The following is a 26661-nucleotide window of genomic DNA, read 5'->3' as shown; positions in this document are numbered from 1 at the left end:
CTCATCATCTAGAAACCAGAAGAGGAGTACAAGATATTTAGGCCACAATTCCTTGATATTGGCCCCAGCTGTCAGCCTCAGACTTGCCATAGAAAAACTAATGTCTTTGGTTCCTCATCCTTCTGAGTCTGCCAGTCTGGAAGGGAAAGAGGAGCCCAGCACTCTCTAGCTCTCTATATCACTCTTGAATCAAAAACAAGAATCCCAACTGTGTGGGTGGGCCTGGTGGACCCTCCATAGGGACTGTTTGTTCAGCTGATGGGTACTGTGTGAAGCATGTACAATGTTTAGGACAGCCTTTATAGCCAGGCAGGCTGTGTTCAGACCTCAGCTCTACCATTCCCAGAGTACGTGCTCTGGAATGAATTATTCTCTGCCTACTCCCTGCCTCCAGTAAGATTCAACATATGTGTAATATCCTCCATCTCACAGGTCACGTACAAGGTGAAATGATTCCATAGGTGTAAAATGCTTAGCAACAAGTACCCAGTAGATGATGATGTGGTTAGTAAATGCTAACAGCTATAATTCACTTATACATTAGAGGATGCCTTTGTATGAAAAAATGAGCTAGACTGTATTTTTGTCCTTTTAAGGATAATTAGAGAATTCATCCAACAAGTATTTATTATAAATTACTATGGTTTTACTCAGCAAAGCACCTCATCTATAGTTGTAAAAGAGAGAAAAAAAGAGAGGAAGAGTGGAAGGATAGGAGGAAGAGAGGGAGGAAGGGAGGCTGAGTGGGTGGAGGGGCAGGCAGAGCTTGTAGCAGATGGTCGTGGAGCATGTACCTGGGGACCAGAGGCCATCACTGAGAAAAAGGATACAAATCCTTTCCCAAATTTTTATGTATTTTTGATCCCTCAGGGAGGCTATTCTCTGCAACTAATGGCTGTGTATGCATCCAGGCAGGGAGCAGGTGTTAATCTACACAGACTAGTTAATAGCCATTAACAGCACTTAAAAATCCAATAAACAGAGAAGGACGTTCTAGCCATCCATACCAGGATCAGAATTCTGTGGGGCCTTCCTATTGTGGTAGCATTCATCACCATCATCATCATCATCGGCAAGGATTTCTATTTAATAACCAACAGCACAAACCTCTTCTGTCCAATCCTATGTGCTAGGCACTGTGCCAGAACTGGAGATAAAAAGATTAATGAGATCTGATCACTGGGCCCAGAAGCCTACGGTGCAGAAAGCAAAGCTGTCTGGAACTGACTGCAATATAGTGTGATGAGAACTATGTGAGGAAAATAAACTCAGTTCCATGGGAGAGTGTGACTAATGGCCTGTTTTCTGCTTGAAATGGGACCTTTTTAACATCAAATATTGTTCAAGAGCAAAGAAAATTCACCAAACAAAACAGCAGTGGCAGCACAAAACAAATGAATATAACTAAGGGTAAAGTAACACGCCTCCTAAAAAACCTTATAAAACTTCAAGAGAAATGGCAGACTGAAGAGTCATGAAGTATAAGCTTTTTCCCGGGCCTGGCTCCAAACACATAATGGATCAAATAGACCCATTTTTTAAAAAACTTCTAAGCTGAATTCAAAATAAAGACATGAATATCTTCAGGTACCAGGAAGGAAAAGGAGAAATTAAAAGCTACAGAGTTATATCTTAGAGATGATACCACGGCTTCCAAAGGATGGGTGCTGGGGAAATCAGATCAGATCTAGAAATTCTGATGCTCCTGAGGGAGTAAGATATCTGCCCTGAGCAGACTGGAGGGACTATTTTCTTCAAGAAGAGGAGACCAGAAGCAAACATTACAGTTGGCCTACCAAGCAGCAAGGAAGTATATCTCTGCCCTTGGCCTTGGATGCACAGGACCAAACAAGGCATGCCCGTGCCATGTGTAAATTAGGAATTCTCTGCAAGTGTCGTGAAGCCAACCTCAGGCAAGTTGTCCTGAGCAAGTGAAATCCACTGGACACCTGATAAAACTAAGCAAAAACTACTCTGTAGGGATACTTTCATATTCCAGGGATCTGAAAATCCCATAGGAAACAAAACAAAACAAAAACCACTGAAGATGATCCTACAGGCAAAATGGAAAAGCCATTAATAGGAAACTATCCTCCATGAGGGTGAGCCAGAAAATGCAAAAATAGAATACTATAGGATACCCCCAAAATACTGTACATGTCAACTTTACGTAGCTGAATAGCTACATAAGCAAACATGCTGAGTATGGCCCAATACAGAAAGGCCCTCACTCAAAGACTACTGCCCCACTGGTGTTTGAATCTCAGCTTTTAGCAAATCACTCCTTCATATGAAACATTTCCTTCTTTCAGCTGTCTTTTGAAATATGTAAATGCTCCTGGGAAAATTAATACAAGCTAGCCTTTCTCAAATTTCAGTATTTATTAGAATTATCTGTGGTGCTCTTTCAAAATGGGCCCTACCCCAGGAAATTCCGGTGTAAGTAGATTTAGGACAGAGACCAGGAATCTGTATATTTAATTAGTGTTGGTCAGGAGGGTTTATAGTGAAGGTGTTTTGTGCTGCTGAATGCGTAGTCTACTCTAGAAACTGTTTAGGGGCTGGGAATTAACTTGGTTGGGAACTTTTAATTAAGAACTCTATTTTGTGATAGAATAATTTTATTTATATAGAGCTATATTACAGTCCATAGATATTCTTCTGTATACACACCTTCTAAGTCATATTGGCTTTTAACCTTTTATTTAAAATTAGATTTTAGCATATTTTATGGATATTGGTAGTAGAAGTGAAAAGAAAGGGGGAAGTGTGAAGGGGACTGTTGCTAAGTCAAAAATTAAGTAGTAAAAATGAGGAATTGTATCTTTTTTATGTCTGCCTCAGATACAGCTTGTGTGTCAGAGACCTTTACTATTTATCAAATAGGCTCTTCCATATTTCCAAACCCCCATGGTAGGGCCATGTGGCCAGTTGCGGTCAAAAGAAACAAAGCAGAAGTAACATCTATCACTTACAGAACTGCCCTTAAGAGCGGTGTGCAACCCTCTGGCACTGAGTTCCCCTCCTCCCAGCAGGGAGATCAATTCCCAGGAGGATTATCTGCCCCCTATCAGGCCTGCAAGAACCAGAAACGAACCTGTGTAATGTAAAGTGAGTAATATGCAGCTGTGGGTGGGGAATAGGGAAAGGGTATTTGTAAGCATAGCACAGCCTAGCCTAACACTCTCTATGAGAAAGGGAAATAGGAAAAATCCTGTTAAAGAAAGTGGCCTCCCATGTCCAACCTAATGGTTATGGATAGCAGTTCTTGTCTTGCATCCTCTTCATCCTCTTTAGCTATTTTTTAATCACTGTTTCCAACATCTTTAAATTGGTAAAGATGAACAGATATCTAAGTAAACTCCAGGATACCACTTATTTATTTGCTTTTCCTACAAAAGCAAACAAAGGATATATTGCCTTATCCTTTAGGCAGAGTTCCATGAAGCTACAATAAGTGTGTGTGTGTGTGTGCACACAAAATTTTACTTTTAACAAGCAAAAGATCCTGATATTTTTGATCCATGCCTGGGAAGAATAATACAGGCACTTACTGGCAATGTGCACATTTTACTGACCTTTTGGAGTTAGTTTCCTTTTGGAGTAAAGAGAATAACAGAACCAAACAGATGTCCCAGCCACTCTGCAGCTGCTTGATTTACAATGTGACACCAAATTTATGAAATCAGTTGGGGGACTCCATGGCATCCTAGGTTTCAGGAAGGGAAATTCACAGGTTTGAGTCAATCCAGGTTCCGTGCAGTCAAGTGCTCTGCACTGGGAAGTTACTGTGAGGTGCACTGGGAAGTTACTGTGAGGTCCCCAAAGTATAGCTATGGAAGCCAAGAAAGAGGGCAAAGAATGGACAGAAAGCAGTGTGCTCTCTTCCTTGCCAGGGCAGATGGGAGGGTCAGGAGGAGCAGGAGGCATGGAGAGGAGCCCATGAAGGAAGGAAAGAAACGCAATTTTTTAAACTGATCATGTCCCCTAGGTTTGCTATCAACCCTCACTCCAATATGGGTAGAATTCAGGAACCATTTTTACCACCATGAAGGAACACCTGCCCTGGGGTTAATGCAAAACGTTGAACCATTCCTTCCACATGCTTTCGACCCTTATTGTGCTCACAATAAAAAGGCGGGTCTCTGTGGGCTGAAAAGTGGTCTGGTTTGGAGATTAGTGAGCTAAAGAGAACCAAATTAAGTTTGACAACATCAGGGTGGAGGACCTATCCCCAGGCAACACATTGAGTAATTTGTAATAATGTTTCAGTGCAGGAACTTGCAAAGACACCACCTTATCAACCTATTGTTGTCTGCTGCAACGTGGAAGAGCATGATAATTGCATTTAAAAAGATATCTTTACACTTCTATTTTACTTTTTTAAAAAAATTACAAGATCATTGGCCATGAAGTTTTCCAACTGCCCTTGTAATAAAAAAAAAAAAACAAAAACAAGACTCAAGTTTCAAATGGTCAAGAGGAGAAGGTATTTGGGGGCACGATGGGAAATGCAGTTTTAAACACCTTGGCTTTGAGATACTAACTGAAATATCCATGGTAGATTAACAGATTTGGCTACATAGAAATGTAAAATTCTGTATGACAAAGGAAAGCACAAATAAAATTGAAAAATAAGCACGCCATTGGAAGAAAATATATACAATGCACTAAATAAAGGATTATTATCCAAACTATACAGATCTCCTACAAATCTATAAGAGGCCCATATCTCAATTGTTAAATGAGCAAAGGCTATGAACGGGCAATTTGCAGGGGAATTACAAATGTCAACAAACAGATGACAAAATGTCAATAAAAAGATGGTGAACCTTATTAGTAATAAAAGAATCACTTACGAACAACCAGTTTATCAATTTTTTGCCCATCAGCCTCACAAAAAGTAAAAATATTGATGATTTCAAATGCTGAAGGTGCTATAAAGAAACAAACATTCTCATTCAACGTGGAAGAAGTGTACATTTTAAAGCCTTCTGTGTGTAGAAGGGAAGCAATTTAGCAAGAGTTATCACAATTTTAAATGTGCCTACACTCTCAGCAATTTCATTGCTACCAACATATCCTAGAGAAAAACACATGTGCCCAAAGAGCATGAACTAAGATGTTCTTGGCTGCTTTGTGTGTAATAGTGAAAACTGGAAGCAATCCAAACATCCATCAGTAGGGTACATCCATATAAAGGAATTTTAAAGTGCTATCTCAACAGGATGTAATAGATTTTTATATGCTCATATGGGAAGATATCCAAATCAAAAAGCAAGCAATTGGTAAAGTATGTGAGCTCGTTAAACTACATAGAAAAAGGACTGGAAAGACAACCCACCAAACTATCGACGTTGATTTTTTTGGGGGTGGGCAATGGTTATGGGAAGGGCATAAGGGTTATTTTTACATTTTATTTCAACCATTTTCATATATTCTTCACTACAAAGAATTTCAGGTGACAGGAAATTGATGGAGTAGAAGGCAAGAGAATCCATTTGATGTTGTTGCTTAAAGAGGCAGAACAGTGTAATAGTGAGTATCATGGACTAGAATCAGACTGCCTGGTTTCAAACCGTGTCTACTTTGCTCTACCAAATACGGTGAGACCTTGGGACAAGGTTCTGAACCCCTCGGATCTCTACATCCTCATCTTTAAAGTGGGATTGATAGTATTCCATAAGAATTGGTGTTATTACTAACATTGCTTTGCATGGCAGCAGTTTTGATTATATTTCCTTCTCTAAAGGTCCAATCACAATAATCATTTTGGAAATAACAAATATTTGTATTAAGTTATAATATTTCATAAAAACTTAGAAGCTTTGAATTATTGTTAATATTTAGAATGAACATATGGACAATGCATAGAATAATCATATTTATAGAGCAAAAAACGAATGTTATTGATGTTGACACTACAAAAGAAATAGTTTTTAAAGTTGTGAAGATAACCAAAAGAGGAATTAAAAAGAATAACTAACTGAAAAATGGAAAGAGAGGAGTTCACTTACATTAGTTAATATAGGTTGCTTTAGATAAAACATATCATACTGGAGAGTCCTATCTGAAGTTGATAAGTCCAGAAATAGAGATATAAGCACTTTATTTAAAGTATGGAGCTAGGCACCAGAAGCACTAAAAAATAAACGATCCCAAAAAAGTTTTTTAAAAGGAGAAGGATCAAGAAAGATTTTCTTTTGTAACTGATATCTTTCCATACCAATTTGAATTTTATAATGTCATGCTTTATTTTCATGATACCCCCAAAATAAGGGACTCTTGTTATAGTAGGGGCTTGGCATGTGTTTATGGTGGATGTTGATTGCATACATATTCATTCGATCGATAATTATACCAAAAAAACTAGTAGCAGTTGTTGTCTCTGGGGAAGAAAATTGGGTGGCTGAGGGACAGGAGTAATATAAATATTTTCACTGAATTCCTTCTGAATTTTTCAATTTTGTGCAATGTGCCTGTATCACCTATCTCCCAAAATACTAATTTTGTAAAGCTTCTGTCTTTTCATTACATGGCCCCATCTATTAGGGCAGAACACTGAAACTTCCAAATGAAAAATGTTACCAGGGCTTATACCACTTGATCAAGTTTCTGTGCCCTGACTCATGGTGCTTCCTCCCTCAATCGCACCTGAATCCTAAACCTGAGCAACCTCTGGGAATTCCAGGAAGAACAGACTGCACCACCTTAGCCAGGGCTATAAATTCTCATTTGGCCTGTTCAGTTTTGCAAAACATTATCAAACAATGAAAATAACTTACCTCATTTAATATTTTAGTTAATTGACAACTGGGGATAGAGAATAGTCCGAAGCAATATGTGTGACTGGAGACTTCGTGGACTGGTGGCTGAGCCCATGACTTGTGGCAGAGTTGCCTGGATTACTACCCAGCTATGATAGACGTGTGTCTGTAGACAGGGAGACTGTAGTCACATGTCATTTAGAAGCATAGCTAATAACTATCACAACTTTAAAGTAGTGATGAACATAAACAGAATTTCAAGATACCTGCAACTGTCGTAGTATATGAAAATATTAGCATCACTTCTTGGCCTTTTGGTTAAGATCAAAGTTAAAATATTGTTGACTTCTTTCACTGGCAAATCCTGGAGTCATAGGTACTGAAAAGATTAATAAAAATATATATACAATTAATAAATATAATTTATTGCCTACATTTGTAATTGAAGAAAATGCTGTATTTTAACTAGAGGTTAGTGAAAATAAACATGTAATTGTTCCCATCCAAGATCATGGACTCCCAGAATTCTATCTGTGCACCCCAGGTGATATTCCCGATATAGATCCAAATGCATCCCATAATTATAAATTCTGTTTGAGATAGCCTGATTGGTCTGAAGCCAGACTTGAAACCTAAACACATTTTGGGAGGGAAGCCACATATCAGGCTAGAGAGGATTCCAGACCAGATAGGATTCCATATTGCCTCAAAGTCCAATGCATTAAAATTCAAAAAAAGAAATCCAGACTTCTAAAGAGAGTACCTGGGATGTGTAGCATATTTCACAGTTTAAAGCAATTAGAATTGTCCTTATTCATTTTAGCTCCTTACAGTGATGAGAGGTGATCAAAGAAAGTTAGAGATATTTTGAGCTTTTGATGAAAACTTACTCCTTTCGCTAAATGGCCTGCTTTATATTATGTGCACAAAGATACCAATTAATGTGACAGTCTATGTACCTTTTAAAACATGGCTTCAAGTTGTTTGACATTCTTCCCATAAAGAGGTAGGGTCTAAGTACCCTCTGCTTAAATCAAGGTAGGCTGACAACTGTTTTGACCAATAGCATTCTACCGAAGTGACACCATGTGACTTCCAATGCTAGGTCATAAAAGGTTACAGGGCTTCTGCCTCGTTTGTTTAAAATACTTGCTCTTGGAGTCCTAAGGCACCATGTAAGGAGTTTGACTATCCAAGGCTGCCATGCTGTGAGGAAGCCCAAACCACATGGGGAGGCCATTTGGAACACTACAGGTGACAATCCCAGCATTCCAGTCTTCACAGATATGAGTAAAGGAACCTTGAGAGGATTCCATTCTCCAGCCATCTGAATTGGTCTGCAGATGTTCAAGCCTTTATTTTTTTTTTTAATTTTTATTTTTATTGTTGAGATAGAGTCTCGCTCTGTCACCCAGGCTGGAGTGCAATGGTGGATCTCGGCTCACTGCTAGCTCCGCCTCCCAGGTTCACGCCATTCTCCTGCCACAGCCTTCCGAGTAGCTGGGACTACAGGCACCCACCACCACGCCAGGCTGTTTTGTATTTTTACTAGAGACAGGGTTTCACCATGTTAGCCAGGATGGTCTCGATTCCCTGACCTCATGATCTGCCCGCCTCGGCCTCCCAAAGTGCTGGGATTACAGGTGCAAGCCACCACACCCAGACATTTAAGCCTTTCAGCTAGGTACCCAGTCACCAAGAAGCAGAGTTAAGCCATCCCTGCTGTGCTTGTCCAAATTCCTGACCCATAGAACCCATCATCTTAATAAAATGACTGGGTATTTTTACACCATAAAGTTTTGAAGGAGTCTGCTACACAAACAAAGAAAACAAAATATAAAGTCCAGTATCTAAACAGAAGGAAGCTGGTAGAAAGACCAAAATGGTCAGAATACAGATATAGTGACTAGATACCAGTATAAATTTAACAAAGCATTCCCATCCAGGAAGGACTCTTTATATCCACTAAATTGTTGTTCTAAAGTAATGCATTAACCACACACCAGGAGCTACAAAGCCAATTGCCTACAAGTACTTCTTAAGTAATGCAAATGAGATCAGTCAAGAATAAGAAAAGTCATGAGTAAACCCTAAACCATTAGAAAAACAGTAGAGAAAAGATGATAGTAGCTGAAATGACCAACTGTCTACTCAAATCCATGTTCCCTTTTCCATAAATAGTTGTTGCTACAAAGTGGCTGCATGGAATACTTTTTATAGCTCCCTTGAAGCTGATTGGGACCATTAACTAGTTCTTGCCAATAGAATATGAGCAAAATTGTTGTATGTTACTTCTGAGCCAAGGCAATTCAGAAACTAACCCTTCTCTCTCTTCTCTTCCCCATCCACCAGCTGCATACATAGGCCTCTAAGGTTCAGATGGCTGAGCCATGAGATGGAAAATTCCTTTAGCCCCTAAACGATCGTATGGAAGAAGACTATCCACTTACCAGGAACCTTTGTGTTGTGTTGGACTATTACATCGGTAAGTGATGTACTTCTATATATTAGATACTGAGCCAGTGGAATGTCAGGGTTTATTTGTTACAGCAGCAAGCATTTACCCTAAACAGCAACGATAAATAGCAACTCACACTTGGCCTCAATGTCAAAAGAATACTAACTCATGATAGACTATGGAAAACCTAAAAATAACAGTCCCAACTCAGCTCCAGCTGATTCTTGTCATGTGAGAGAGGTTACAAATTCAGATTTTTTAAATATTGAAGTTCAACTCCATTTAAAAAAAATCTCAGTGAATCCAGCACAAAACACACGTTCAAGTCCATTTAGCCACATTGCATTTTCCTAGCTTTATATTAAGATTGGTGAGATCTCTTTATAATTTTGGTTATATGGCAGAGTGCTATGGTCTGAATGTTTGTGTACTTCCAAAATTATATATCAAAACCTAATCACCAATGAGACAGTATTAAGAGGTGAGGGCTTTAGGATATGATGAGGTCATGAGGACTCCACCCTCAAGAATGAGATCTGTATACTTATAGAAGAGGCTTGAGGAAACCTGATTGCCCCTTCCACTATGAGAGGATGCAGCAAGAAGACATCATGTGTGAAGCAGAGAGCCTTCACCAGCCACGGACTCTGCTGGTGTCTAGATCATAAAGTTCCCAGCCTCCAGAATTGTGAGGAAGAAACTTCTATTTTTATAAATTCCTTGATCTAAGGAATTTTGTTTTATAAAATTCCTTATTTACAAAATAAATGCTACAACATTTATTTTGTTGTAGCAGCTCATGCAGACTAAGACACAGAGCTAACCACTATTACAGATCAATCATATCACATCAGACTTCTATCCTATCTGTCATATTCATCAAGTTACATTTCAGGACAGCTCATCCTTCCTCAAAAGCCTTCATTTCAACAAGACGAAGTTTTCCTTTTCAGCTCAGCACTCAAGGCCTTCCAAAATCTTACCTTAACCCAATCTCCTCAGTGTCTTTTCCAACTGCATCAGACACTTTGCTCTCCCACGCACTTTCTCAGCTTGGTGCTTTGCTCAGGCTGCTCCATGGACAGTGCACAGGGGTCTCTGGCTCTGCTGCTCAAAAGCAGCCCTAATCAGTACATAAACAATTGGGTGTGGCTGTATTACAATAACGCTTTATTGATGGACAATGAAACTTGGATTTTATGTATGTTATGAAATATTTATTTTCTTTTGATTTTTTCTTATCCTTTAAAAATGTAAAAACCATTCTCAGTTTGTGAGCTGAACAAAAACAGGTGGCTAGCCAGATTTGGCCCACGGGCTATAGTAGTTTGCTGACTCTATTTCATGGCTATGTAACCCAATCCTGAACCATGGAGTGGCTTTGTGGAAAACTGTCCTCCCTATTTAAAAGAGACATTGGAAAGAAACACCCCCTTTTGGAGCAGACATTGTCTCATCTCCACCTGATGCCATCTTGGGTTATGAGGGGCAAGGACACATATGAACCCCTGCCATAATGAGTCATGTTATAATTGCTTCTACTGGCTTAAGAAAATGAGGAATAGTCTTAGGTTTCTGCCACTTGGCATTCCATAAACCCACAGTAGAGTCATGAGCCACCCCATCCCCATAGTGACCTCATGCAGTTTTACAAGCACTTCTGAAGACCTGGCTATGTTTACCAGGATGGTCCTGGAAAGGGATGCATTTGCTTTAAGTCAAATGAAGAATCAAAATAAACTGAAGACAACACACTTGAATTTACTCAAGAAATGCAATGTCCCTGATATGGTTTAGCTGTGTCCCCACCCAAATCTCATCTTGAACTGTAATTCCCATAATCCCCATGTGTCATAGGAGGGACCTAGTGGGAGGTAATTAAATCATGGGGGCAGTTACCTCCATGCTGTTCTTGTGGTAGTGAGTGAGTTCTCATGAGATCTGATGGTTTTATATGGGGCTTTTCCCCTCCTTCACTCCGCACTTCTCTCTTGCCTGCTGCCATGTAAGACATGCCTTTGTTCTTCCTTTGCTTTCTGCCATGATTGTGAGGCCTCCCCAGCCATGCAAAACTGTGAGTTATTTAAATCTCTTTTTCTTTATAAGTGACCCAGTCTCAGGTATTTCTTCACAGCAGTACAAAAATGGACTAATACAGTTCCAAAATAAGAAAATTATCTCAATCCAGATAAATGTATCCAAAGAACCCAGGATTCAGAAGCATATGAAGTGGGAGTTCATGGGCAGCTAAAAGTAGGCACGGCTTCTACACCACCTGCATCCCTCCTGCTGACTCTGCTCTGGGGCCACAGGCCATTTAGTCAGGGCTATGATTAGTATATCCTAAAGCCATTTTCTATAGAAACTGTGTGGACATGATTTAAACACTGAGCCTTGATTTTTATCAAGGTTTTTTTCTCAGCTGTATTTTCTACTGTACTATAAAATCACATGCACAGGCATACATACACGTACACAAAAACACATATATCAACAAATATATATGTACAGATATGCAAGTTAATGCATATGTATGCAAGCACACATGCACAAACATGCACACATAAGTATATACACATAGGCAAAACACACATGGATACACTAAGACATGCACATACACAACATACACATGAGCACAAAAACACATGCATGCATACATACATATGCAAAACAAATACACACCCATAACACATATCCTTCAGCACCTGGATATTAGGTTTTTGTTTGTTTGTTTAACTTAATATAACAGAATTGTTAAGAGAGGCTCAAAACTCAGACCAACCTGGCTTGAAACCTGGTCATACCTCTTTCTATCTACATCATCTTGGACAAGTTATAGGTTGGGCATCCCTAATCCAAAATGCTTCAAAATCTAAAATTTTGTGAACATTGACATGACACAAGTGGAAATTTTCACATCTAATCTCATGTGACAGGTCACCATCAAAATGCAGGCAAACAACACAGTTCATTCAGCATCCCCAAGGGAAAAACAAAATTACCTTCAGGCTATGTGCATAAGGTTTATAGGAAACTTGAATGAAATTTGTGTTTAGAATCTCTTCCACAAGATATCTCATCATGCATTCCAAAATCCAAAAATAGCTCAAAATCCTAAACACTTTTGGTCCCAGGCATTCTGGATAGGGGATACTCAATCTGTAGTTAATTTCTTTGAACTTTAGGTCTCTAACATAAAATGGAAACAGCAAAAGTTCCTCTCTGATGGAATTGTATGAATTAAATGAGTTGATGTTTATAAATTCTCAAGACAGTCCCGGTCACTTAAGCACTGAATATATATAATCAACAGCAGCAGCTGCTTCTTCTTCCTTCTTCTTCTCCTTTTCCTTTTTTTTTTTTTTCTTCTTCTTTTCTCAGTCACTTCTAGGCAACCACATGTAGTGATCAGGAGCCAGACTGAGATGGTACTTTTGGCTTCCCTGGTTTATAAGGTCAAGAGAACCAAAGGGCTTTGTGTGGCCACCCTATCAGGAGTAGGTAAGAGCACATTAGCCCATTGGTAGAAGTCTGCTGCTGCCCCAAACCCCTCCCTTGCAGGCTGCCTTACCTCCTACCTGCTCAGACACCACCTCCCCAGGAGAGTAGCTACTGTGGCTGGGCATAGTGTCTGATGGGCACTGTTCCCATGCATAGGCCCCATCCCTCCCCAGATAGATTCTATTAATGTGCATTTCCATGCATCAAAGCAAGCAGTTTCCACTTTAAAAGGCCAGTGCTGCTTGACCTGAAAGGATGAGTTAATGCTAAGCTCCAAAGTCTTTGGGGCTCCAGCAGTGGTGGCAAAGCGGGAAGGAAGAGACCTTTAAGACTTCTCATTCTGAGGCCTGACAATCCAGAGGAAGACGTGGACACCAGCCAGAAAAGCACATCCCAAACTTGAGCAGTGGGTCCACACTAGGTAAAGGAGTTAAAGAATGAGAGGAGAGATGTGGTGAAAGACAAGGCAGGAAGTGATTACGGGAAAAGGATGTTTTCATGGCAATGTCTTAAAACCAACCCAAGATCGACCCTTTTTTGCCCAGAACTCATCTTCAAAGGAGAATATTCTCTCTCTCACTCTCTCTCTCTCTCTCTCTCGCTTGCTCTCACTCTTCTCTCTCCTCCCCTAAGAACACATTCAAAAAACTGTCATATTTTCCTATTACTTGATGAACTAAAATTCAAAATAGGTTAAAGAATGATTATTAACTGAGCCAAAACATCTGCACCTTAAGCCAAGATCTACAATAAAGTCTGATGCTATTTTGCCTTTCAGGAGTTATATTCTGTCTAAAAGAGACACACGCTAAGTACATACATACATACATACAAATAAACAAAAGAAAATTTAGTGAGACAAACTCCAGAATAAATTTGTTCCATGTGGCCTCCTAAAGAACAATAATGATTACTGTCATTTGGAAATTGCCTTGATATTTTCTATCTATCTGAGACTTACTGGCTTTCCTGAAACTTATAACCATTTTAAAATGTTTAACAAATATGGATAAAACCTGACTGAAACCCAACTGCAAAGTAGTTTTGAATGGAGATCATGGATCTTGGTTCTCGAGCCAGGGCCCAGCTCCAGCAGCACCCTCCCAGAGAAGACACAGGGAAGTGTGAGCACAGACAAGTCCATGACAGAGGCTGGCTTCAGTGTCCAGACAGCAGTGCATGACTCCAAACAAAGACAAGTTAGAGTGCATCTTTACTGAAAAAAATCGAATATGGAATTTGGGGACCATCTACTAAAAATATGATTGCAGATACATATTTATAATTTTCCCCTATGACTTTGCCCCATAAGCTCAGTTTCATCTGCCTCATCAACATAAATGCTGTTTCCTGCTGGCATCCATGAAGGCCTTGGTGACAGCTGCACCATTAAGAATTAGAAATGTAAGGGAAAAAAGAAGAAAGAAAAAAAGGAGAAAGAAGAGGAGGAAGAGAAGGAGGAGAAGGAAAAAGAAAAGAAGAGGAAGAAGAAGAAGAGGAAGAGGAAGAGGAAGAAGAAGCAGCAGCAGCAGAAGAAGAGGAGGAGGAGGAGGAAGAGGAGGAGAAGGAAAAAGGAAGAAAAAGAAGAGGAAGAGGAAGAGGAGGAGGAAGAGGAAGAGGAGGAGGAAGAGGAAGAGGAAGAAGAGGAGGAAGAGGAAGAAGAAGAGGAAGAAGAAAAGAAGAAGGAGGAGGAGGGAAAGTAGGGAGAGGAGGAGGAGGAGAAAAAAGAGAAAAAGAAAGAAAAAAAGAAATAAGAAAAAAAGAGGAAGAAAAATAAAAGCAGAAAAGAAATGTCTCCATTTACCTGTTCACAGCCACAAGAAAAACATTCTTCTATACTGCAACTGGGTGAAACTTACCTGATTAGTACAGCCAAGATTGTCTTATCCAGGTTAGGCAAAACTGAACAAGTAGAACTCCTCCTTTGCGAAATGTTTTGCTACTGAAGACCTTGCTTGGGCCAGGTGTGATGGCTCATGCCTGTAATCCCACCACAGTGGGAGGCCGAGGCAGGTGGATCACTTGAGCCCAGGAGTTCGAGACCAGCCTGGGCAACATGGCAAAACCCCATCTCTACTAAAAATACAACAAGTAGCTGGGCATGGTGACCAGCACTTGTAGTCCCAGCTACTAGGGAGCCTGAAGTGGGAAGATCACTTGAGCACGGGAGGTGCAGGTTGCAGTGAGCCAAGAGCAGATTGCGCCACTGCACTCCAGCCTGGATGACAGAGTGAGGCCCTGTCTCAAAAAAAAAAAAAAAAAGAAAGAAAGAAAGAAAAGGAAAAGAAAAAGACTTAGCTATGAACTCATAAGCCAGCAGGAGAGTTTGCTCTCTCCGGTGAGACTCAGTGAAAGCCATCAGCAAAACTACAGTAATGTGGCACTATCACCACCAAAAGTGAAAGAATTAAAGCTTTCGCTTTAAAAATGTAGTGGTAGTCTTGATATGATGTAATGAGATTGGCACTTTTTACCTCTGTGGTCTTCCTCTCACAACCCATAATCCTAGGCTAACTATGAGAAGAACATCAGACAAACCCAAATCCAAGAACATTCTACAAAATACCTGACCAGCCCTTCTCAATGTTTTCAATTGATGGAAAACAAGGAAAGTCTGAGAAACTGACTTAGACCAGAAGAGTCTAAAGAGACACAACAGCTAAGTATAATATGGTGCCCCGGATCCTGAAACAAAAAAAAAGCATTGGGAAAAGCTAATGAAATTTTAATGAAGTATGGCGTCTAATTAACAAAGTACCAGTGTTGGTTCCTTAGCTGTGACCACAGTAATGTAAGATGTTAACAACAGGGGAAACTGGATAGGGGGTACATGGAAACTCTCTGTACCATTTTTGCAGATTTTCTATACATCTAAAACTATTCTGAATGTAAAAGTTCATTTTTAAAAATTCAGTGGTAGGAACTGATAAAAGGTGAAATTTGGTTAAAAACAAAACAAAAATCTTGCTAAAGTTTCCTAAATATTTGGGATTATTTACATATTGCTGTTAATTGAATTATTTTATATTAAAGCATGCTATGTACCTAGTTTTTTTGTTGTTATTTGTTTGTTTTTTGTTTTGAGACAGAGTCTTGCTCTGTCACCCAGGCTGGCGTGATCACAGCTCACTACATCCTCGACTTCCCAGGCTCAGCTGATCCTCCTGCCCCAGCCCCGCAAGTAGCTGAACTACAGGTGCTTGCCACCAGGACCAAGTAATTCTTGTATTTTTTGTAGAGATAGGCTTCGCCATGTTGCCCAGGCTGGTCTCGAACTCCTGGGCTCAAGTGATCAGCCTGCTTTGGCTTCCCGAAGTCCTAGCATTACAGCCATGAACCACAATGCCCAGCCCAGAAGTGTCTTTCTATAGGTAAAGCATAACTGACTAAAAAGCAAGTATTTAGCAGTTGACCGCAATTCCATGCCTGTGGAGAGCCCAGCTGTATGGACCACACAGTCAGAACCAGGCCATATCGTCTGTGCTGTTGATAGTAGTTCACCAAAATTTGTACATAGTGTGAAGGACCATATCAAGAACTCAGGCTTGGTGTCATACCCAGACTCATTCATTCATTCTTTATTTCATCTCCTCCCTAATTCATTTGCATTATTTTGTTCATAGAACATTTAAAAACATGTATGTGCCCACCATGTGCCTGGCACTCTGCTAGACTCTGGTCCCTGTGCTAACAAGACTAGTAATCAATTATAATAAAGGAGTAAAGACCATGTGCTTTAAACTTGGATTCAAATCTTGGCTTTTGCCACCTGGTAACTTTGTGATTTGGGGGAAATTATATAAATCTTTAAGACAGTTTTCTCATGTGTAAAATGAGAAAAACAGTAAAAGGACTTCATGTTATTTTTGTGAGTGACTGCATGTGGTATGTTGAGCACATGCATTGTCAGCTGTTATTATTTATTTATCAACATTAAGAGCTCTGAGTGCTTGCATAGAATAAAGAACAGAATACAATGGGGCAAATCACTTTTCTGTCACTTAGAGGCTGGGTTGTCTTAGGACATGGTTAACTACACTAGGACTCAAGCTTCCTTGCCTGAAAAGAAAAGGGGGGCGAGGGGGAACATTTTCCACGTCAGATTTGGGAGAAAATTTAAAAAGATTATACATGTGACAAACTTACCAAGGTGCCTGGCACATGGCAGGCTCTCAGCAACCCGCAGCTTTATTGCCTAAGTATCATGACAAATGGGAAAGTTAGAGCAGCATGTTAAGGGCTTGTCTTGTGCAAGGAAAGAAGTCTGGCCAAATATAAGAAGATGGCTAGAGTAAGATGCTACCTAAGGTGGCAATTTCGGTTCCCCACAAGATAGAGATGAAAGATTTCATTGAGGATCCCAGACCCAGACAACTCAACATGAATCCACTTTTCCAGTCTGCCTGAACTTTCCCAAATTATTCTCCCGACATTTCTATTGCTTCAATTCCTTTGCCTGGTAGCCAAGACCCATTGCTGTCTGCTCTCAACTGACCTCCCCAGCCAATGTTTCCTTCCTGCACGAACACTGCAAACTGGACTCCTATTTCTCTCTCTCCTACATTTTCTCTGTGTGCCTTCTGGATGGCTGCCCTAACTTATAATCTGTGTACAAGCCAGTTGTAGATGTGCAAATTCTACCTAGTCTGCTGGGAAAGTTTAATTGCCACATTTTACAAGAAGCTTTCCCTGGTTTTTCCAACCAAAATCAACCTCCCCTTGCTCCACCCTTATATCTTCCTCTCTTTTCTCTGCTCTCCTCTTAAGGCACATACCACTTCCCGCCCTCATCTTGGAGATCTTTTTATCCCTGCACTAATTTATAAGCTTCTTGTGGGCATAATTCATTTTCAACCCCAGCTCTTTGCCATGCAAATTTCTACTTGGGCACTTCATAAATATTTGCTGAATGTTCTGGACTAGAAAGATCGTCCATGACAGCTGTCAAACACGTAGATGTCTGATGTGATTACTCTGTCAACTCCACATTTCTGCACTATAAGGAAAGGGGCAATAAAGATGAATTTTGTGGCAACTGTTTGGCTTAGCTACACAGCCTTGCTGCCAGCACAGCCTCACCAAGGGAGCAAGGCTGAGTCATCAGGAGTCGCACAGCAGCAGAACTCAAACAGAAAGTTTCACTTAAGTCTCTGTACCTAGTCTGGAAGCCTCCTGTTCAAGTGGCCACTGCAGGACATAAGTAAATCAAGCCAAACTTCAAGGGCGACTGGGACACATTTCTATTGCTTTGCCTTGAACTTGGCTTGGGGTGAAGAGGGCTTTTAAAATAAAGGTTAGCCCTCAGTGTCCCCAAATCTACCAACTCTACCCATCTTGAAGACAACTTTTAACATGGAAGGAAGGAAAGGACGGAGGGAGGGAAAAGGTAAGGAGGAAAGAAGGCAAGGAAAGATGGAGAATTGAGGCTGGGCACAGTGGCTCACGCCTGTAATCCCAGCACTTTGAGGGGCCAAGGTGGGTGGATCACGAGGTCAGAAGACTGAGACCATCCTGGCTAATGCGGTGAAACTCTGCCTCTACTAAAAATACAAAAAATTAGCCGGGTGTAGTGGTGGGCGCCTGTAGTCCCAGTTACTCGGGAGGCTGAGGCAGGAGAATGGCATGAACCCGGGAGGCGGAGCTTGCAGTGAGCCAGATTGCGCCACTGCACTCCAGCCTGGGTGACAGAGCGAGACTCCGTCTTTCAAAAAAAAAAAAAAAAAAAAAAAAAAGGTGGAGAATTGATCTAACAATGAGTTCTTATAACCACTACTTCTTGAATTCTGGTCTGTCTTTCCATCATTTGATGGGCTACAGTTAACCACTACAAATTTTCTCCTGGAATATAAAGATATGGTTAATATAGCCTGCTAAAACTGATGTTTTCAAGGTAGGGAAACTGATGGCCTCAGAATTTTATAAACATTCACTCCTTATAAATCTAAAAGAACTCCTTCGAGCCCTGTAGGACGCTGATTTGATGCCTGCCTGGGCTCTAGAAAGTACTTCTCTTTTAGACCTAACTCAAGTAAAGGGGTAGAGAAACTGCTCCTAGATTAATGCCACAGCTTGAACAAATGGACCAGTAGGAGAGAGGGCTCATGAAGGCTTTAGAATTGTCTTTGGGGAAGGGGAATCATTTTCAGCCTCTCAAAACTTTGTCTAGTTTGACATAATATTTTCCCCTTCATTTAAACCCTTATTTTTTCAAAAGAAAGCTAACTTAAACAATGTGTTATTGTAATTAAATAAAGGACTCAGTGATACAAACACCAAAATTCTTGTTTGAAATTAAATCTTTCCTGGTTTCTGGGACTGCCAGGGAATCTTTTAAAGAACTGCAGCAGTTCAGAGCTAAGAGTTTTCACAGAGCCAGAGTGAGAAAATTAACCAGGAATTCACCATTTGAACACGGTGTGTGGAGCCTGTGGTGGATAAAACTCGCATTCCTGATCCTCATACACTCTAACTACATGTGCATAGTAAGCAATGCCATTTCTGAGAAAACTCAGAAGTCTCAGTAATTCTTCATTCACAATGAGTCCACGGCACAGCACATTACATTCACTAAAGAATGGCAGCATGCTGTTCTGGAAATCCCAACAAGCAGTAAATGCCACATGAAGAATTTTCTGGGAGCTTCAGCTGCGTTCGTTTACTGCCAGTGATGCTTCATCTCAGCCACTGACAACCAAGAAAATTGGTTGAGGATTATTCTCCTGGAAAAATCTGAAGTTTTAAATGGAAACACAGGACAAAATGAGGATGCTTGAAGATAACTGAAAAACAATGAAGAACATCTCAACAGAAAAGGGGTTGGATAACTTCCTGGGAGAAGGCCAGATGAATTACCCTCCAATGCACCAGGAAATGCCTGATTATTTTCTGGATTATAGCAACACTGCGTGAATATGGGATCATTTGCTATATGCTCAAACAAGGGCAAAGAATCCATACTGTGTCTGGTTCCAATTATGTGTAAGAATCTAATGGGTCAGATTCCAGACAAGGCCACCACCCAATTTCTGCCAACAATGAGGCAGAAGGAGATTTGGAGAAAGAGAGAAGGGAGCCAAGACATAAAAAGCTACCTCAACAAACAAACATAGTCCCCTTTCTTTCGATACCACCTGGATGGCTGGGTACCCTCTAGTCCATGTAAGGCCATGTCATTTCCCACCCCAACACATGGTGCCACCGCCATGTTATTCCAGCTCAATACTAAAGATTTAAGGAATTGATGAAAGTCCACTTGTAGCACCAAGGACAAGGGTCCTCCACAATCATTCTTCACTAAGCAGGGAAGGTCTCATGTCCTGATGATCCGGGAGGGCCAGGGGAGCGTGAAAGTGCAGTGCCTTTAACGTATCATATGAAAAGTTATATACAAGGGAGACCATTCAACGACATGGACAAGAAAGCCAGTCAAACAAAGTTATCAGTTAAGGGCAGAGGGTGGAGCTCAAATGAGGGGAAGTTGAGGAATCAGTTCTGAGAGAGAAGATAGATCAACAGGGACTGGGTAGAGTCTGAATGCTGAGTACCAAAACATGGGTGTAAATGGGTGAAACAGGCTCAGTGGAAAAGACCATGAATGGACAAAGATGCCAGTGCATTCAGCCTACAACAGCAGCAACAACAACAAATGATAACATTTATGAAGCACTTACTATATTATCTCATTTAATCCTTACAACACAACTTCCTAAAATAAGTACAATTATCATCCTCTCTGAGGGTGGAGCATTTCAACAGAAGAGCTGGAAAGGAGAAGCCATCCATGAAAAGCCAGGGGCACAGCAATCCAGGCAAAAGAAGATCATAGTTGCAAAGGTCCTGTGGTGGGAATGAGCTTGGCATATTCAAAGAACAAAAACCCAGTGGCTGGCACTCAGTGAATGAGGAAAAGAATGGAATGAGATACAATGGAGTGTAAGGAAGAAGCTAGATCATGCATGGCTAGAACCATCATGGTAAGGAGTTTTCTTTTTAGTTTTTCTTTCCCCTCAGTGACACAGTAAGTCTGTGAAGGGTGTAGTGTGACATAGTTTATGTTTTAAAAATATTACCCTGACTGCTTGATGGAGAATGAGTTGCAGGGGGGAAAAAAAAGTAAAAAAAAACAAAAAACAAAAAAACCCCCAGGAAGCTTCTGAAAAAATTACAGATGAGAGGAGATGGTGGCTCAGGTAAGGCATCACCAATAGAGATTGAGTGTAGATAAATGCAAGATGCACTTTGGAAGTGGAACTGACAGAAATCCCTCGTGTATTAATTGTAGGGGAGTGATGGGAAAGGAGGAACCAGGGACAACTCAAGTTTGGGGCTTGAGCAAACAGTGGAGCCATTTGTTGAGATATTGAAGACTGGGGTGAGGTAGGAGCAAATCTGGGATGAAAGCCAGTGTTACATTTTGAGTGAAGTATGAAATTCCTCTCACACAGACCTGGAGATATGAAAGATACAAGTGGAAATACAAGACTAAATTTAGGGCAAGGTCAGCGCTGAAGAAAGAGGCATGGGAATTGTGAACATAGAGACAACATTTAATTAAAGCTCTGGAACTGAATAAGGTCACCCAAAGGTGATCTTACAGAGACGAGAAGTGTTAGAGGTACCTTGAGCAACTCTCACATAAGCAGATTGAAAAAGAGAAGGAGGCATCAAAAAGGAAACTGAAAGGAGTAACCCAAGAGGCAAGAACAAACCAGGCAGTGACTTGTCCTAAAAGCCACAGGAAAGGGAAGTGCTTCTATGAGGGGCCAAAGCCTTATTGCCTAGAAGGAAGGATGAATGGGAAGTGATCTAAAGTCAAAACAGAAAGTATGGACAACTGTCTTAGTCTACTCGAGCTGCTACAACAACATACCAAAAACTGAGTGGCTTATAAGCAACAGAAATGTATTTATCACAGTTCTGGAAGCTTGAAAGTCCAAGATCAAGGCACTGGTGGCAGATTAGGTGTCTGATCAGGGCCCACTTTCTCACGGACGGCACCTTCACGGGCAATAATCCCACTCATGAGGGCTCTGCCCCCATGACCATTACATTGGTGATTAAGTTTCAACATATGAATTTTGGGGATACATGAACACTCAGACCATAGCAACAATCCCTTGAAAAAGAAATTTGCTTTTTGGAGAGAGGGGCAGGTGATGGGTAAGTAGAAGCTAGAGGGGTATGAGGATTCAAACGATTTCCTTTTTCTTTAATTCCTTTTTAAAAAATATTTGTTTGCTTGCTTGTTTTAGGAAAAGAGCTACCAGAACATGTTCACATGCTACAGAAATGGCTAGGAATGAAGGAGCAGTTGATAATGCAAGAGAGAGGGAACAACTAATGGAGCAAAGTCCCACAATGGGCAAAGAGACCCTCACAAGTAGAGTTCAAGGTGGCCACTGCTCAGAGCAGGGACATAGTGGAAGCACTGTCATAGAGGGAAGTTTGAGAAGATGGGCAGAGATAAAGAGATGGCACAGCCAGTGGTGGGAAGATGAGCTGGGGCACTCTTTCAGATGCTATCTTCTAAACAAAATATGAAGCCAGGTTATTTACTGCTAGTAATGTTAGGGGAGAAATGGGATAAATTTCAGGGAAGAAGAGATGATGTGAAGTCATTGTTTTAGAAAATAGTTATTCTAGTGAAATAGAAATCATCAAGATATTAGGAAACATTGTCAAGCAGTGTCGCATATTCATTGCTATATGTTGCCATAAATTTGAAAAGAAATCCATCTGGCCAGTTGGGTACCTCTCTGTCAACATTTAATTGCTTAAATGTGGAGATGGAAAAGAAGACTGGATAAGCTCAACCACTGTTTGGGGTTTGTCAAGAGAGGAGAGAGGAGGAAGATGGGAAAAGGACCTGCAGAGGTCAGCAAGGAAGGGGCTAAAGTGATAGACCATAGACCGTGAGTGGAGTGAGAAGGGAAATGAACAGAGAAAAATGGTGGTAATGAAAAGGAGTCAAATGGATCAAAGGTCTTGATGAAGTTGAGAAAGTATCATGAAGGTACCAACGTAAGTGAATAGTTAGAATAGGAAGTGATGGTCACAGTAGAAGACTTAAAATTGAGGCTTTGGTGATGGTTACAGTTATTACAGGTATTGTCAATGCCTAAGGTGTGAATATCCCATTTTACAAGTAAAGATATGGCACCTCTAAAGGATTGTATGGACTTGCTCAAGATAACATGGAACTGAAACTTGAAACCAAGTTCTTCTATGTCAAATTCACTCCTTTTTTCTTGTCCCATGCTGTCTTAGACTTAGGCTGAAATTACTTCAATTTCTAGCAGTTCTAATTGATAATTTCTTACCTATAGCCTTTCTATGACCTCCAGGACAGAGATCAACACTTCCCAGAGCTAATCATCTGGGAGCATCCATTAGAGACTCAACTGTTAGTCAGAAATGTGTTTGATTTGCAAGAGGTAGTATGACTGTGACCATGGACTCTCTGCTTTGTTCACAGGAGAAGGAAACTGCCCAAATCACTAATGTAGATTCAGAGTTCCCAGTCCTCTCAGGGACTTCTCTTAGGTATATACCTTACAGACACACAAACAACTTGCATTTCATGGGACACTCTGTTCTGATCAGGGGTCATGGAGAAGGATTAGCGTTTTTGTCTGTTTCAAGGTTCCATGGTAGAGAAGGTCGGAGAAGACTCAGAACTTGAACTTTTCCTATTGCATGAGATTTCTAACCTACTCATGAGAATCCAGGTATAAATCAGCTTTTATGAATTTTTAATAGAAATTCTGCAACCCCATTGCTGCCCCCAGACTACCCTTCCAAATTCATCACCACTTTTCCTCCAAATGAATCTCCCATTTTTATATAATTAGTTTATCTGATACTCCCTATCATGCTTAGCCTATTCTTACTTCCTCATCACCTTCTTCCACATGTTCTCTCCAACAGGATTGCTCCTCTTCCTTTCTTTGCTGAGTCCAGCTGGTGTTACCCACTGCATGAGGCCTTCCTGACTGCACCTATCCACAACTAAGCAGTCAACACCCACAAACCACCGTGTCCAAAGCACTCATTTGATGCTTGCTATTCACTGCCTTGATTGTGAGTTAACTTTTTATTATTTTTATCTAGTTTCTTCAAATAAACAATATACAACTTGAGGTCACATGCTTCCTTGTATTTGCCTTTGCTGACAGTGACTGGCTAGGTGTCTCTACTGTCCTTGATAGCCTTTGGCTCACCATACTGCATTTAGCAATTTACTTTTATTTCTCTTAGATCTCTCTCTCTCTCTCTCTCTCTCTCTCTCTCTCTCTCATTCAAATAAGCATCAAGTACTATTGACTCAGAATGTTTATATTTCATGTCTATATATCTCTTACCATTGTCTCTTGCACTACTGTGACTTTTACCTAGAAAAGTGGAATAACCTCCCGACTGGTATTTCTGCATCCATTATTGCCCCTTCAAACCATTCAACATACAGGGCAGAGCGGTCTTTCTAAAGTGCACATCTGATTATGTCATCCCTCTAATGAAACTTTCTTCATGACTTCTTTTTGCCTCTAAGATGAAGATCAAAATCCACCCATGGTCTCCAAGGCTCTGTCTGGCCAGGCCCCATCCCTTTCTTCATCATTTGGGGCCAGTCTTCCTCTGGCACCAGAAAAAGTCTCTTTGGCTCTAACACTCTATTTCTACCTTCACATCCTCTCTCTGTGTCTCCATCACACTTATTCCTGATCATCTTTCTGAGCACAACTCACAGGCCACTTCCCCAAAGAACATGTTCCATCACATACTCGCAGCATTCTGGTCTTTTTCTTTGTGACTCTGATCACAAGCATGATTCTACAAATAATTGTGTGATGTATGGTTTAATGCCAGCCTCCCTCTCTAGGCTTATGTTCTGATAAGTAGAAACCATTATTTTCCGGTTCGCTTCCTTATCCTGAGCTCCTAGCACTGTGTATGAAATGTAGTATGCCTCGAAAGTCTTTGGAATAAACAAATAGATAACAAAACAATAGTTTAAGTGTAAGCTCCTTAAAGGTGTGGAGTATGCCTTATTCACAATTTTATCCCCCATATCGAGCACACAGCCTGGCACATCATGGGCCCAAATAAATATTTTTGAATGAATGAGTGTATCTCATAGTGTTAGCTTTATATTTTATAAAAGTTGAAGGATAGTAAGAAATTTCTTGTTTTCATGTAGGGAGATTTGAAAAAAGAAACACTTTATTTTTTTAAAACTCAACTTTCAGTGCTGATTTAAGTCATACCCATAACTTATATTTACCTCCACTGCCTAGAGAGCTGGGCCTTGGATTTGCATGTGAAGATATAATACTCAGCTTACCAATTCTCAAATAAAATATGACTCTGACCTAAAGTTTAGACATCATCTATGAATATAGATAGGAGCGATTTTCTGTGCCAAACATGGCTTAAAGGTCAGCTGTTGTTTGGTTGTTGAATTACGTGTCCTTACATTGTAGTGCTATAAAAATAAGCAGGACATTTGTTTTGAGTTATCAGAGAACTTGAATCTTGGCAATATCCATCTCTGCTGTATGTAGGTCTCTCAGACACAAGCTAGTCTCTTGGACGTTTTGTAAAGCTGCATTAATGTGTTCAGGCAGGTTGGATAGTCAGCCAGAAACAAAAGGAGAAGCTTCAGTACAGAAAAGTGCATGGCGGTGATATATCTACAACACTAACCCCAAACTTGCAAATCCAAGAAGAGCAAGCTTTGGATGGTTGCTGCTGGCATAAAATAGTAATCTTACCCTCATGGTGAGATATAAACCAATCATGAGGCCTCAGTACAGCCTTAAAGTTTTCATAACTGCGGTTCTAGTTCACATACCTAGAAACGTTGCATGCGTCCATAAAGAAACTGGTTTGCTGAGGTTAAAAGCAAGAAAAAGTCTTGTTGCTTTGAAGTACTGAGTCATAAAACGTATTCCACAGAACACTCATACAAGACAATAAAGAAGGGAGGGATCCTACAGTCCTTCCTGGAGATTTCCCATGCATGCAATCACATTTTTTAAAAGCCCTATAGCAAAACCTGTCAAACCTGGCATTTTCCAAAATTAATTGACCATGGAACCTCTTCTTATGTAATATCCTGTTGTCATTTATCATTTTTTGGCTGCCAGGAATCTGAAGCATCTTCCTAGGTTTGGGGAATCCTCAGTTGTGTGACTGTTACCAGGAGCCAAGACCTACTGTCACCACAGAAGGTCAAAGAGCAGCGTGTCATCTGCCTCAGTTCGTGGGATTAGTGCATTACACACTCTGGACAGGGCCAGTTGGATGCTCCTTCATTGGACGTTGACTCTGAAGAAAGTGGCAGAGAAGCGGGACAAGAGAGATACATCCAGATGGCCATGACAGAGGCACAGGCTCAGTGTGAGAGCCATTGGTGGCACAAAGGAAGTGTTGGGTGTTAGGTGTCTGCAAATAGTGGCAGTGGCATCCCCACAAGCCTATCCCCATGGTGTGATTTTGGCTGTGATTCTGGCCACTTGCCTCTCCTTTGGCTCCTGCCCATTTTCTCAACCTGTTCTCCAGATTTTCCAACAAGACTTCGAATTGGCATACCCTCCTTTTCCTGCTTAAGTCATCCAGGGTCAGCTTCTGTTGCCTGTAGATGTGAACTTTGCTATTATTCACCCTTTAACATCTGACAGATGTTAGTGTTGGTGTTTAGCAGAATGACTTGGGAACATGCTGCATTCTTATGCCCTAAGACCAACCTAATAAATTTGATTCTAAGATGACAGTAGAGTAAATAAGTATGCTTTTACTGCCTTGGTGACCAGACATGTTAACACAGCTTCCAAAAGATTTTACAGTTACTAAGTATAGCTTTAAAAAAAATGGCTTACAAAGACTTTCATCTCCAATCTCACTCTCAGATCGTTTAATAAGCCTCTTGTAGGCACT

General features: G+C 40.6%; 1 long non-coding RNA gene across 11 annotated transcripts in view, besides 1 other annotated feature; it reads right to left on the bottom strand.

The window, feature by feature from the left end:
* LOC102724036 (uncharacterized) overlaps window positions 1-26661 on the bottom strand; it is a 247231-nt gene that overhangs the window by 38249 nt on the left and 182321 nt on the right. For 10 of the 11 annotated variants that reach the window (XR_007061623.1, XR_007061626.1, XR_007061624.1 and 7 more), the window contains 3 exons: window positions 7034-7146; window positions 6786-6933; window positions 3579-3709 (listed from right to left, as the gene is read on the bottom strand). This is a non-coding gene — a long non-coding RNA (uncharacterized LOC102724036). The remainder of the gene's footprint in view (window positions 1-3578; window positions 3710-6785; window positions 6934-7033; window positions 7147-26661) is intronic. The other variant, XR_007061622.1, reaches the window with a different exon arrangement.
* Window positions 21278-21487: an enhancer, noted in NCBI's record as "active region_28505". NCBI's record gives its function as "activates an Ori minimal core promoter by ATAC-STARR-seq in GM12878 lymphoblastoid cells {active_cell/tissue: GM12878}" and the evidence as "EXISTENCE:reporter gene assay evidence [ECO:0000049][PMID:35858748]".

The sequence above is a fragment of the Homo sapiens genome, chromosome 9 (genome assembly GCF_000001405.40).
Source record: "Homo sapiens chromosome 9, GRCh38.p14 Primary Assembly".
NCBI classification, from domain to species: Eukaryota; Metazoa; Chordata; class Mammalia; order Primates; family Hominidae; genus Homo; species Homo sapiens.
Note: the sequence above shows the minus strand (reverse complement) of the source record. Positions and strands in the feature narration are given on the sequence as shown.